The sequence below is a fragment of the Homo sapiens genome, chromosome 7 (genome assembly GCF_000001405.40).
Source record: "Homo sapiens chromosome 7, GRCh38.p14 Primary Assembly".
Taxonomy (NCBI): domain Eukaryota; kingdom Metazoa; phylum Chordata; class Mammalia; order Primates; family Hominidae; genus Homo; species Homo sapiens.
In genome coordinates, this window is record NC_000007.14 from 157,339,291 (window position 1) to 157,351,792 (window position 12,502).

Sequence of the window (12,502 nt, forward strand, 5' to 3'; positions counted from 1 at the left end):
TTTTTTTTTTTTTTTTTTTTTGAGACGGAGTCTTGCTCTGTCGCCCAGGCCGTAATTAATGCGGTGGCGCGATCTCGGCTCACTGCAAGCTCCACCTCCCGGGGTCACACCATTCTCCTGCCTCAGCCTCCCGAGTAGCTGGGACTTCAAGCTTCCGCCACCACAGCCGGCTAATTTTTTTGTATTTTTTTAGTAGAGACGGGGTTTCACCGTGTTAGCCAGGATGGTCTTGATCTCCTGACCTCGTGATCCGCCTCCTCGGCCTCCCAAAGTGCTGGGATTACAGGCATGAGCCACCGCGCCCGGCCTTTTGTGTGTGTGTGTGTGTGTGTGTGTGTGTGTGTGTGTGTGTGTGTGAGATGGAGTTTAGCTCTTGCCCCTGCTGGAGTATAATGGCACCATCTTGGCTCACTGCAACTTCGCCTCCCAGGTTCAAGCGATTCTCCTGCCTCAGCCTCCCGAGTAGCTGGGATTACAGGCATGCGCCACCACGCCCAGCTAATTTTTTCTATTTTTATTAGAGACGAGGTTTCACTATGTTGTTCAGGCTGGTCTCGAACTCCTGACCTCAGGTGATCCACCCGCCTCGGCTTCGCAAAGTGCTGGATTACAGGTGTGAGCCCGCGCGTCCGGCTGTCACTTTAAAGAGTATTATAAGAGGGCACTTCATAACTTGGGCAGGTATTTTTAGTCATCCTGAACGTGTCGCTGTGGACTGGGTGTCACCGCGGGACCGCACAGACACCTTACTGTCGTCTGCTGTAAAGGTCAGCTTCTATATTGGTTAATGCTTACAGATATCTGTTGAGGAATAAGAGAATGTAATTAGCCTTTGTATTTGTGAGTTGACGTTTTGACGGGATTTTTACTTCTTAGTATTTATTTGCATCGAGGTTACACACTGGATTAACAGCGTTTTTTGGAAACCTTTTTAAAACTTTTTCATTTCCTCAGAAATGATTCTGTTCAAAATGTGGTTTGGTTAAATTTGTGCAGGACCCCACCTGGTGGTGAGAGGCGGGTAACTGCAGGCTCATTAGCGAGTAAGAGTAGGATCAGTGGCAGGATTTAGCAAATGGTGTAGTTCAAGGATGAATAGAATTTGAGAATATCAAACTCAAAAAAATGAGGTTAATGAGAAGAAGAGCAAAGTTGGTGAAAACAAGAATATGTTAGAAACGATGATGTAGGAATGGAAAAACGACAACGCCTACCTGCAGAAAAGTCAACTAGTAAAAATGTGATTTTTTTTTTTGTATTGATATTAATGAGGTGTTTTGTCAAACAAAACCCTTTATGTTTTTGTATGGACATAAATCACTGTTGACCTGTTTCATGTTCCTGGAGATATCCTACTTGAGAAGGAATATTGATTGATGATTAGTTGACTGACTGATTTACTTGAGATGGAGTCCTTGCTCTGTGTCCCAGGCTGGAGTGCAGTGGCGCGGTCTTGGCTCACTGCACTCCTGGGTTCAAGCCATTCTCCTGCTTCAGCCTGCCAGGTAGCTGGGATGACAGGCGCGTGTCACCACGCCTGGCTAATTTTTGTATTTTTAGTAGAGACGGTTTCACCATGTTGGTCAGGCTGGTCTCGAACACCTGACCTCAGGTGATCCCCTGCCTCCGCCTCCCAAAGTGCTGGGATTACAGGCGTGACCCACCGCACCTGGCTGTGTGTGTGTGTGTGTGTGTGTGTGTGTGTGTGCGCGCGCGCAGGTGGAATCACCCTGTGTGCCCAGGCTGGTCTCGAACTCCTGGCCTCAAGTGAGTCTTTCATCCCGGCCTGTCAAAGTGCTAGAATTACAAGTGTGAGCCAGGTGCCTGGCCAGATTTTAGATTTTTTTGTTGTTGTTGAGATGGAATCTCATATTGCCCAGGCTGGATGCAGTGGCGCCATCTCGGCTCACTGCAACCTCTGCCGCACGGGTTCAAGCGATTCTCCTGCCTCAGCCTCCCGAGTAGCTGTGATTACAGGCACCTGCCACTGCTCCCGACTGATTTTTGTATTTTTAGTAGAGACGGGGGTTTCACCATCTTGGCCAGGCTGGTCTTGAACTCTTGACCTCGTGATCCACCCGCCTCGGCCTCCCAAAGTGGTGGGATCACAGGTGTGAGCCACTGCGCCAGGCCATATTTTAGAATTCTTAAGCTGTGTTGCAAAATTACGTGTCTTTGGAAGGGTGATTTAGTTTACACTACATATGATTTTTCCCCCTTTGATATTTTTCTACTTACCTTTTGCCACCAAAGGCTTAAATTAAAAGTGTGTTTTATATTTGTGTTGTGCATATATACGTGTGTGCTCTAGTTGGTATGCTTATGAACTGTGTACTAATACTTATTCCTCTCTGCCACCTTGAGATGGCATGTACCACTTGGGTGGGCTTTGAATCTGAAGTTATTTGTGTTTATAGGAATGTCCAGGACACAGAGTGCTTAGAAAGTATTGATTGAATTAGATTCTTTCTAGTTTGTGTATGTCCTGATGACCTTCCTGTGATTAATAATGGAATCCAGAATTCAAGAAAGTTGGAAAAAATAAGTTTCAGCAGCACTGGAGACTGAGTACTTAACCGAGTGTTGCTTTGTTTATTTTAGAGTCTCACACTGTCACCCAGGCTGGAGTGCAGTGTCGCGATCTTGGCTCACCGCAACCTCCACCTCTGGGGTTCAAGCGATTCTCCTGCCTCAGCCTCCCTGGTAGCTGAGATTACAGGCGTTCGCCACTACACCTGGCTAATTGTTGTATATTTAGTAGAGAGTGGGTTTTGCCATGTTGGCCAGACTGGTTTGGAAGCAGGTGATCCACCTGCTTTGGCCTCCCAAAGTGCTGGGATTACAGGTGTGAAGCACCGAGCCTGGCCCTATTTTATTATAATAATAATTTTTTTTGAGACAGGGTCTCACTCTGTCACCCAGACTGGAGTGCAGTGGCGTGATCTCAGCTCACCCCAGCCTCCGCCTCCTAGTGTCAAGTGATTCTCCTACCTCAGGCTCCGGAGTAGCTGGGATTACAGGCACGTGCCACTATCCTGGCTAATTTTTTTTTTTTTTTTTTTTTTTTTTTGAGTTTCACTCTTGTTGCCCAGGCTGGAGTGCAGTGGTGCAATCTCAGCTCACTGCAACCTCTGCCTCCCAGGTTCAAGCGATTCTCCTGCCTCAGCCTCCCGAGTACATGGGATTACAGGCATGCACCACGACACCCAGCTAATTTTGTATTTTTAGTAGAGACAGGGTTTTGCCCTGTCCAACTCCTGACCTCAGGTCATCCGCCTGCCTTGGCCTCCCAAAGTGTTGGGATTACAGGCGTGAGCCAGCGTGCTGGCCTAACTTCTATATTTTTAGTAGAGATAGGGTTTCACCATGTTGGCCAGGCTGGTCTTGAACTTGTGACCTCAATCCACCTTCCTCGACCTTCCAAAGTGCTGGGATTACAGGTGTGAGCCACCAAGCCTGGCCTATTATGATTTTTTAATGAAAGGGAGTTAAGCTTGGAAGTATCTAATAGGTGATGAGTGCTAGTTGAAGAAATGGTCTCTGATCTTGAGTAATGGGGAAATAACTTCTGTGTTTGTTTCAGAAATATTTTAGGACATACTGGATAATGAAATAAGTAGGTGATGTGTGTGATAAGGAATGAAAATTCACTGCTGTGGGTTTTTTTTTTTCCTACCTGTCTGTACTTTTTTTGTTTTTGCTTTTTTTTTTTGTTGTTTGAGACCAAGTCTCACTCTGTCACTTAGGCTGGAGTGCAGCGGCGTGATCTTGGCTCACTGCAACCTTTGCCTCCCAGGCTCAAGCAATTCTTGTGCTTCAGCCTTCTTTCTGAGTAGCTGGGATTACAGATGTGCACCACCACACCCAGGTAATTTTTTTTTTTTTTTTAAGACAGAGTCTTGCTCTGTTGCTCAGGCAGGAGTGCAGTGGCACTATCTTGGCTCACTGCGCCTGCACCTCCCAGGTTCAAGCAATTCTCCTGCCTCAGGCTGCCGAGTAGCTGGGACTACAGGCGCTCACCACCATGCCTGGCTAATTTTTGTATTTTTAGTAGAGAAAGGGGTTTGCCATGTTGGCCGGGCTGGTCTTGAACACCTCAGGTGATCTGCGTGCCTCGGCCCTCCAAAGTGCTGGGATTACAGGCGTGAGCCACCTCACCTGGCCTCAGATGAATTTAGAAACCACTATTTTTTTTTGAGATGGAGTCTTGCTCTGTTGCCCCGGCTGGAGTGCTGTGGTGTGATCTCAGCTCACTGCAAACTCTCCCGGGTTCAAGCAGTTCTCCTGCCTCACCTGGAACTACAGGCGCCACCACGTCTGACTGGGTTTTGTATTTTTAGTAGAGACGGGGTTTCACCACGTTGGCCATGCTGTTCTCAAACTCCTGACCCCAGGTGATCCACCTGCCATGGCCTCCCAAAGTGCTGGGATTATACGCATGAGCTACCCACGCCTAATCTTTATGTGACGTGTTTTTTTAAAAGTCCTAAACTTAGAGGTCATTGAATTTATTGGAGAAGGTTATTTTTGATTAATGGCGATTAGGCTAATTTTTTTCATGGTTTTAATAGAGATTTTTCGTTTTTTTAAACTTGATTTAGATGTATTGCTTTTGGAAATTGCAGAAATTAACAAACCGAGTTTTCCTAAGAAATATTTTTTCTTAATTTCTTAATTGAAAAGTTTTCTATGGCTTCCTTAATAGACAGTAGGACCTAGTTAATAGTTTAAAGAAGTTTCATAATTGTTATTAGAAATGTTAATTATGGGCCGGGTGTGGTGGCTCACACCTGTAATCCCAGTACTTTGGGAGGCCAAGGTGGTCAGATCACAAGGTCAGGAGTTTGAGACCATCCTGGCTAGCATGGTGAAACCCCATCTCTACTAAAACAATACAAAAATCAGCTGGGCGTGGTGACAGGTGCCTGTAGTCTCAGCTACTTAGCAGGCTGAGGCAGGAGAATGGCGTGAACGCGGGAGGCGGAGCTTGCAGTGAGCCGAGATCCCTCTACTGCACTCTACTGCACTCTGCCTGGGTGACAGAGTGAGACTCCGTCTCAAAAAAAAAAAAAAATAGCCAGGCATTGTGGGACACACCTGTAGTCCCAGGTACTCGGGAGGCTGATGCAGGAGAATCGCTGGAACCAGGGAGGTGGAGGTTGCAGTGAGCTGAGATTGTGCTGCTGCACTCCAGCCTGGGCAACAGAGTGAGACTCAAACTCAAAAAAAAAAAAAAGTTAATTTTGTAGTTAGAGAATATCTTCCTGCTCTACGCAAATTCCCTTCCAGCCTGAAATTATTTGTTTTTTTATTTTTTATTTAAAAAAAAATTTATTATTTTTGTGACAGGGTCTTGCTCCGTTACGTAGGCTGGAGGGCATTGGTGCGTTCACGTCTCACTAGCATCGACTGCCTGGGCTCAAGTGATTTTCCTGCCTCAGCCACTTCCAGTAGCTGGGACTACAGGTGCACACTGCCACACCCTACTGAGTTTTTATATTTCGTAGAGACAAGATTTTGCTGTGTTACTCAGCGTGGTCTTGAACTCCTGAGCTGAAGTGATCCCCCTGCCTCAGCCTGCCAAAGTGTTAGGATTACAGGCATGAGCTACTGTACCCAGCTGTGATTTCTTTTAAAGTGCTACTTTACAGCACTGTCACTTTTATTTTATCATTTTTAACTTTAAAGTTTTTTGTTTATTTTTATTTATTTTATTTTTTGAGATGAAGTTTCGCCCTTGTTGCCCAGGCTAGAGTGCAATGGAGTGGTCTCGGCTCACTGCAACCTCTGCCTTCCAGGTTCAAGTGATTCTCCTGCCTCAGCCTCCCAAGTAACTGGGATTACAGGCGCCCGCCACCACACCTGGCTAGTTTTTGTATTTTTTGTAGAGACAGGATTTCACCATGTTGTCCAGACTGGTCTTGAATTCCTGACCTCAGGTGATCCACCCGCCTCAGCCTCCCAAAGTGCTGGGATTACAGGCGTGAGCCACTGCGCCTGGCTTAAAATTTTTATTTTTTATATATTTTGTTTTTTTCTGAGACAGGGCCTTGCCCTGTCTCTTGTCCAAGTTGGAGTGCAGTGACATGACATGGCTCACAGCATCCTTGATCTCTTGCGCTCAAGTGATCCTGCCATTTCAGCCTCCTGCATAGCTGGGAGTACAGGCATGTGCCACCCCACTCAGCTAATTTTTTTTATCTTTTTGTAGAGATGGTGTCTTACTGTGTTGCCCAGGCTGGTCTCAAGCTCTTGGGCTCAAGTGATCCTTCTGCACATTTCCAAGGTTGTTTCACTCCTGTGTCTTTGCTGTCTAGAAGCTTTTCAGTGTGATGTAATCCCACTTGTCTGTTTCGGCTTTTGTTCCTTGTGCTTTTGGGGGTCATATCCAAACAAAGATTGCTGAGGGGCCAAATTTTAAATTGTGTATAATTTTAATGACTTCAGATTTAAATAGCTGCATTTGGCTTATGGAGTCTTTTGAGCAGCATGGTTTTAAAAAGGTTTTTGCCAAGTGGGGTTCTAATGGACACCTATGCTTGTAGAGCTCTGATGTGAGTGATCTGCTGTAGAAATTACTTCTTTTGATTTAGTATATTATTTTAAAATGCAGGTGATGCACTGGTTTCTTGGTGAGGGAAGCTGGTTTTTCCTGGCTGAGCTTCTGTAGGGTGGAGGGCTGGAGTCCAGGCTCTCGCTGGGCAGGGAAGGCAGCTTGAGTGTGCCTTCCAGTCCTCCTGAGGGCCCACATTTTTCTGGGATCACCTGTTTTCTGTAATGTGCATTGAACACACGGGCCAGGAGAAGAGGGAAGTAGAGGAGCTTTGTCCTCTGTGCTCATCCTCACAGTGCTGGGCGGGCCAGAAGGATTCAGGGCCAACCTTAGGGAGATGAAGGCCAGTTAAAATGTTTTATTGCCACAAATGGTGTCTTTTAAGAAATGAATCCATGTATTTTACACTTAAATGATATTAGGCTACTCCGGGCACACTGCCTATGGGGTAGCCCTGCTCTGCAAGGAGTAGTAAAAAAAAAAAAAAAAAAAAAGTTAAAGATACAACTTAGTTTCTCTGTGACTAGGGAAATCGTCCAAGTATGTATCAAATAATGCTAATTGGTACCTAGTTTTATATCTTGATTAGGCAACTTTTTGCTTAAAATTGTTTTGGAATGCATTAGTATTTCTACAGCTTCAGGCTGCTTTATCATCTAATACACAGTTGGATATTTAATATATAGTTTTATCAGTTTTTTTTAAACACTGTTTTTGAGAGGTCTGAGGAAAAAAAAGATAGTGTTACCAAAAATACTTCTATAGGGAAATACTGATAGAAATGTATAGGTAGCCTTGAAATTCTGAGGTTAATAAAAAAATTTGAATGCAGGTAACCTTTCATGGAGTTTGTCAAATTTTAAATTGTGTCTTACATCAGTGATGACTGAAGCAGTAAGGAGTGAGCTTGCAGCAAACAGTGGGGATTGTTGCAGCATCAGCACTTCAGCCAGCTCTGCAGGTTTCCTTGGAGACACGTGGATTTCTCTTTCTAGACCTTCAGCTATTTTCTTTTTTTTCTTGTTTTCTTGAGATGGAGTCTTGCTCTGTCGCCCAGGCTGCAGTGCAGTGGTGCGATCTCGGCGCACTGCAAGCTCCACCTCTCGGGTTCACACCGTTCTCCTGCCTCAGCCTGCCAAGTAGCTGAGACTACAGGCGCCCGCCACCACGCCCGGCTAATTTTTTCTATTTTTAGTAGAGACGGGGTTTCACCGTGTTAGCTAGGATGGTCTTGATCTCCTGACCTCGTGATTCGCCTGCCTCGGCCTCCCAAAGTGCTGGGATTACAGGCATGAGCCACCGCGCCCGGCCAGCTATTTTCATTTTGTTGTTTCTGTAATGCGTATTTGTATTTAATTTATATTCTAAATTTGTTAGTCTTACTGGCATTTGATGAAAACTAAAAAGGTAATTTTGAGATTTCAAGTACTGGTGAGAGAATGTCCCATAGCCTTGAGGGTTGGAATTGTGTACATTGACAGCATAGTGCCACGATACAGGCTAGCATGAGTTCTGGAGGCAAACTTGGATTCTTACTATTTTTAAAGATGCAGTGTCTTTGGTATGTTGCCCAGGTTGAACTCAGACTCCTGGGCTGAAGCCATCCTCCTGCCTCAGCCTTCTGAGTCACTGGGACTTTAGGTGCACGTGACTGTGCTCGGCTCAGACTTGGGTTTTGAACTTGCTGGAACATTGACATTTACTTAATTCCTTTGAGCCCCCGTTTCCTCACCTACAAACAGTAACTCACAGAATGACTGTGATGGAATACGTACCTGTAAGAATGTGTGACACGTGAGTCAGTAACACATTGTTGCCCCAGCTCCTTTCCCCCTTAATCGGCTAATAATTAAGCCTCAATTATTAGTAAACTAATTAAGCATCATATGACTTGATGATTAGCATGTCACGTTTAAAATTACCTGTTGTCATTCAGGTTATAAGAAGTTTGTTTATTTATTTGTTTTTTTGAGTTGGAGTCTCGCTCTGTCACCCTGGCTGGAGTGCAGTGGTGTGATCTTGGTTTACTCCAACCTCTGCCTCCCGGGCTCAAGCGATTCTTCTGCCTCAGCCTCCCGAGTAGCTGGGATTACAGGTGCACACCACCATGCCTAGCTAATTTTTGTATTTTTAGTAGAGATGGTGTTACGTCATGTTGGTCAGGCTGGTCTTGAACTCTTGACCTCAGGTGATCCACCTACCTCAGCCTCCCAAAGTGCTGGGATTACAGGCGTGAGCCACCATGCCTGGCCTTATTTTATTTTTTTGAGATGGAGTCTTGCTCTGTGGCTCAGGCTGGAGTGCAGTAGCGTGATCTTGGCTCACTGTGACCTCTGCCTCCCGGGTTCAAGCGATTCTCCTGCCTCAGCCTCCTGAGTAGCTGGGATTACAGGCGCCCACCACCTTGCCCAGCTAATTTTTTGTATTTTTAGTAGAGATGGGGTTTCGCCATGTTGGCCAGGCTGGTCTTGAACTCCTGACCTCAAGTGATCCACCCGTCTTGGCCTCCCAAAGTGCTGGAATTACAGGCATGAGCCACTGCGCCCAGTCTTATTTTTTAATATTGCCATATTTTAAATAGGAATGGAAGATTTCTGCACCAGTCCTAGCGTTTGTGGATGTGCATGGAACCCTGTTGGTGAAGTTTTCTTGCCTTGGAGAAGGACCCTAAACAGTTTCCTAAATAGCTCTCCTGTCTGCGCTTGGTTGCATTCCTGTCGTTTTTGATTCCCGCACATATCGTTTGGAGCATCTTCGTAACCCTGCCGTCCAGTCATCACTCTCTTAAGTCCATCTCCCTTGTAGTTAGAAGTTATCTTTCCACATACTCCTGTTGAGTTCACACCACCGCTTAACTCTTCTACTTACAGTGGAAGAGTCCTAATTCCTTAGTTGTAAAATTCTTCAGTTGCGCCCTGTTCTTTCTTGTCCTGACTCCCTCCCCTCCCTCTTACTCCCAGCACCCTCACACTGACGTTCCACCCTACTAACTTGCTGCGTCCCACATGGGCTGTGTGCTGTCGTTATTTTGCCTGAGCATACGCTGTTACTTGTGTGTGGAATACTTTTGCCTCTGTTCTCTGCCTGGGGAGCTTACTCTTGTTTTTCATTTCGTCAGTAAAATGTCAGTGTTAATTTTTCCTTTCCTCATGGTCTCTATACCATCTCCCCAGCACTCTGTGCATATTTGTCTTTTTAAATTTTTTTTTATTTTTTGTGTAGATGAGGGCTTGCTGTGTTGTTGCTCACGCTTATCTGGAATTCCTGGGCTGAAGCAGTCTTCCAGCCTCGGCCTCCCAGTAGTGCTGGGATTACAGGTGTGAGACCCTGCAACGGCCATGTGCATATTTGTCTACATGCCTGTCTTCCACTAAACTTGATGACTTTTATTATTTCCAAAGCTAGCATAGTGTGTGTTATAAATAGTAAGTTTGTATGATTAAATTCAATCAGAATGACAATATTCTTTTAACATTAGGAAGGCTTTGATTGGTTGACTAATGGGGCCAGTCTCACTAAAATGAAACAGTTGGGCAAGGTGTGACCCTCCCTTCCCTTGAGAGTCTCACCTGCCCAAAGGTAATGGGAAGGCAGGACCGTGACCCCAGGTTAGAAAAGACCAGGGGACTTAGCAGAGTTTTATTACTTTTTTTTTTTGAGTCAGAGTCTTGCTCGGTCACCCAGGTTGGCGTGCAGTGGTAAAATCACGGCTCACTGCAGCCTAGACCTCCTGGGCTCAAGCCATCCTCCCACCTCAGCCTCCCGAGTAGCTGGGACCATGCGCTGTGCCATCATGCCTGGCTAATTATTTTATTTTTTGAGACGGAGTCTCACTCTGTCATCCAGGCTGGAGTGCAGTGGCATGATCTCAGCTCACTGCAACCTCCGCCTCCCGGGTTCAAGCAATTCTCATGCCTCAGTCTCCTGAGTAACTGGGATTACAGGTTCATGCCACCACACCCAGCTGATTTTTGTATTTTTAGTAGAGACGGTTTCGTCATGTCAGCCAGGCTGGTCTCGAACTCCTGGCCTCAGGTGATCTGTCCGCCTCAGCCTCCCAGAGTGGTGGGATTTCAGACATGAGCCACCGCGCCTGGCCAACGCCCGGCTAATTATTTTATTTTTAGTAGATTCAGAGTCTCCCTTTGTTGTCCAGGCTGGTCTTGAGCTCCTTAGCTCAAGCGTTCCCTCATTCTCTGTCCCCAGAACACTGGGATTACAGGCATGAACCATTGCATCCTGCCCGAATTTTATTGTTAATTGTAGCATCCTGGTCCATTTTCCCGTCCTGATCAGAAAGAGAGCTGTGGGTCTTGTTATCTTTTGTTGGTGGCAATTGGACTGTCCCTGGAGTATCTGTGTTGGACTGGGGGCACTAAGACATTACGACATTGGAGCTTGCTCAGAGGGGAGGGACCAGGTAGGTCAGGGTTTCTCAGGAGGAACTGTGAAGAATTGTAAGGGTATATTTGCCTAGAGACAGAAAAACTTGCCAAGATAAAGCCCCCAAATATCCAAAGGTAACTATGCGGAAGAGAAATTGAACCTGTATCGCATAATTTGAATAAGGACCAAAGGGTGAAAATTCCTTGGAGACCCCCGCTCCCCAGCATAAGGAAGAATTCCTGTAGTTAACTAAAATTCAGGGCTTGACTTTGGAGATAATGAGTTCCGGTCACTGGCGTTTGTTCAGGCAGAGAAAGGTTGCACTAATTAGTGGTTATTGAAGTGTGGATGCCTTATGAGTCAGAGCTTGAACTTGGTGATATAAAGGTCCTTTAATAAGAATTTGAGGAAGACGCCCAATATGGCACTTTTCTCGAAGTACTTGGAGACAACAACCTTTTTTTTTTTATTTTTTTTTGAGATGGAGTCTTACTCTGTCTCCCAGGCTGGAGTGCAGTGGTGCGATCTTGGCTCACTGCAACCACCACCTCCCAGGTTCAAGTGAGTCTCCTGCCTCAGCCTCCCGAGTCTTAGCTGGCGTTACAGGTGTTAGCCACCAGACCTGGCCAGAGACAACAACTTTTTAATTCTGAGATTCTGTGGTAGCATATGCCAGACATTAGCCAGCTGCTTAACTTTTGTCCAGTCTTTTTTTTTTTTTTGAGACAGAGTTTCGCTCTTGTTGGCCAGGCTGGAGTGCGATGGTGCAATCGCGGCTCACTGCAGCCTCCGTCTCCCAGGTTCAAGCAATTCTCCTGCCTCAGCCTCCTGAGTAGCTGGGATTACAGGAATGTGCCACCATGCCTAGTTAATTTTGTATTTTTAGTAGAGACAGAGTTTCTCCATGTTGGTCAGGCTGGTCTCGAACTCTCTACCTCAGGTGATCCGCCCCCCTCAGCCTGAGCCACCATACCTGTCCTGTCTTTGAATACTGTCTCACTGTTTTTGTTCTGAGTCTTTGAAAAGAATGTTAAAGGTCAATAGTAGTTGGAAGAACTAAGCCTGACTGTCTCCCAACTCATGGTTTTACCAAAAACTCTATTAAAAAACTGTTGTGGGCCGGGCACGGTGGCTCATGTCTGTAATCCCAGCACTTTGGGAGGCCGAGGAGGGCGGATCTACAAGGTCAGGAGATCGAGACCATCCTGGCTGGCATGGTGAAACCCTGTCTCTACTAAAAATACAAAAAAAAAATTGGCCAGGTGTGGTGGTGGATGCCTGTAGTCCCAGCTCCTCAGGAGGCTGAGGCAGGAGAATGGTGTGAACCCTAGAGGTGGAGTTTGCAGTGAGCTGAGATTGTGCCACTGCACTCCAGCCTGGGTGACATAGTGAGACTCTGTCTCAAAACAACAACAACAACAACAACAACAACAAAAAAAACCACAAAACTTGTTTGGCTGGATATGGTGTATGCCCATAATCCCAGCACTTTGGTAGGCCAAGGTGGACAGATCACCTGAGGTCAGGAGTTTGAAACCAGCCTGGCCAACATGGTGAAACCCT

At 46.0% G+C, this 12,502-nt stretch overlaps 1 protein-coding gene across 11 annotated transcripts in view, besides 2 other annotated features; it reads left to right on the forward strand.

The window, feature by feature from the left end:
- DNAJB6 (DnaJ heat shock protein family (Hsp40) member B6) overlaps positions 1-12,502 on the forward strand; it is an 80,436-nt gene that overhangs the window by 2,287 nt on the left and 65,647 nt on the right. The gene's annotated exons all lie outside the window — the stretch shown is intronic.
- Positions 1,249-1,769: an enhancer, noted in NCBI's record as "H3K4me1 hESC enhancer chr7:157133233-157133753 (GRCh37/hg19 assembly coordinates)". NCBI's record gives its function as "activates a minimal SCP1, AML or CMV promoter by ChIP-STARR-seq in naive H9 embryonic stem cells {active_cell/tissue: H9 hESC(naive)}" and the evidence as "EXISTENCE:reporter gene assay evidence [ECO:0000049][PMID:30033119]".
- Positions 9,937-10,506: an enhancer, noted in NCBI's record as "H3K27ac-H3K4me1 hESC enhancer chr7:157141921-157142490 (GRCh37/hg19 assembly coordinates)". NCBI's record gives its function as "activates a minimal SCP1, AML or CMV promoter by ChIP-STARR-seq in naive H9 embryonic stem cells {active_cell/tissue: H9 hESC(naive)}" and the evidence as "EXISTENCE:reporter gene assay evidence [ECO:0000049][PMID:30033119]".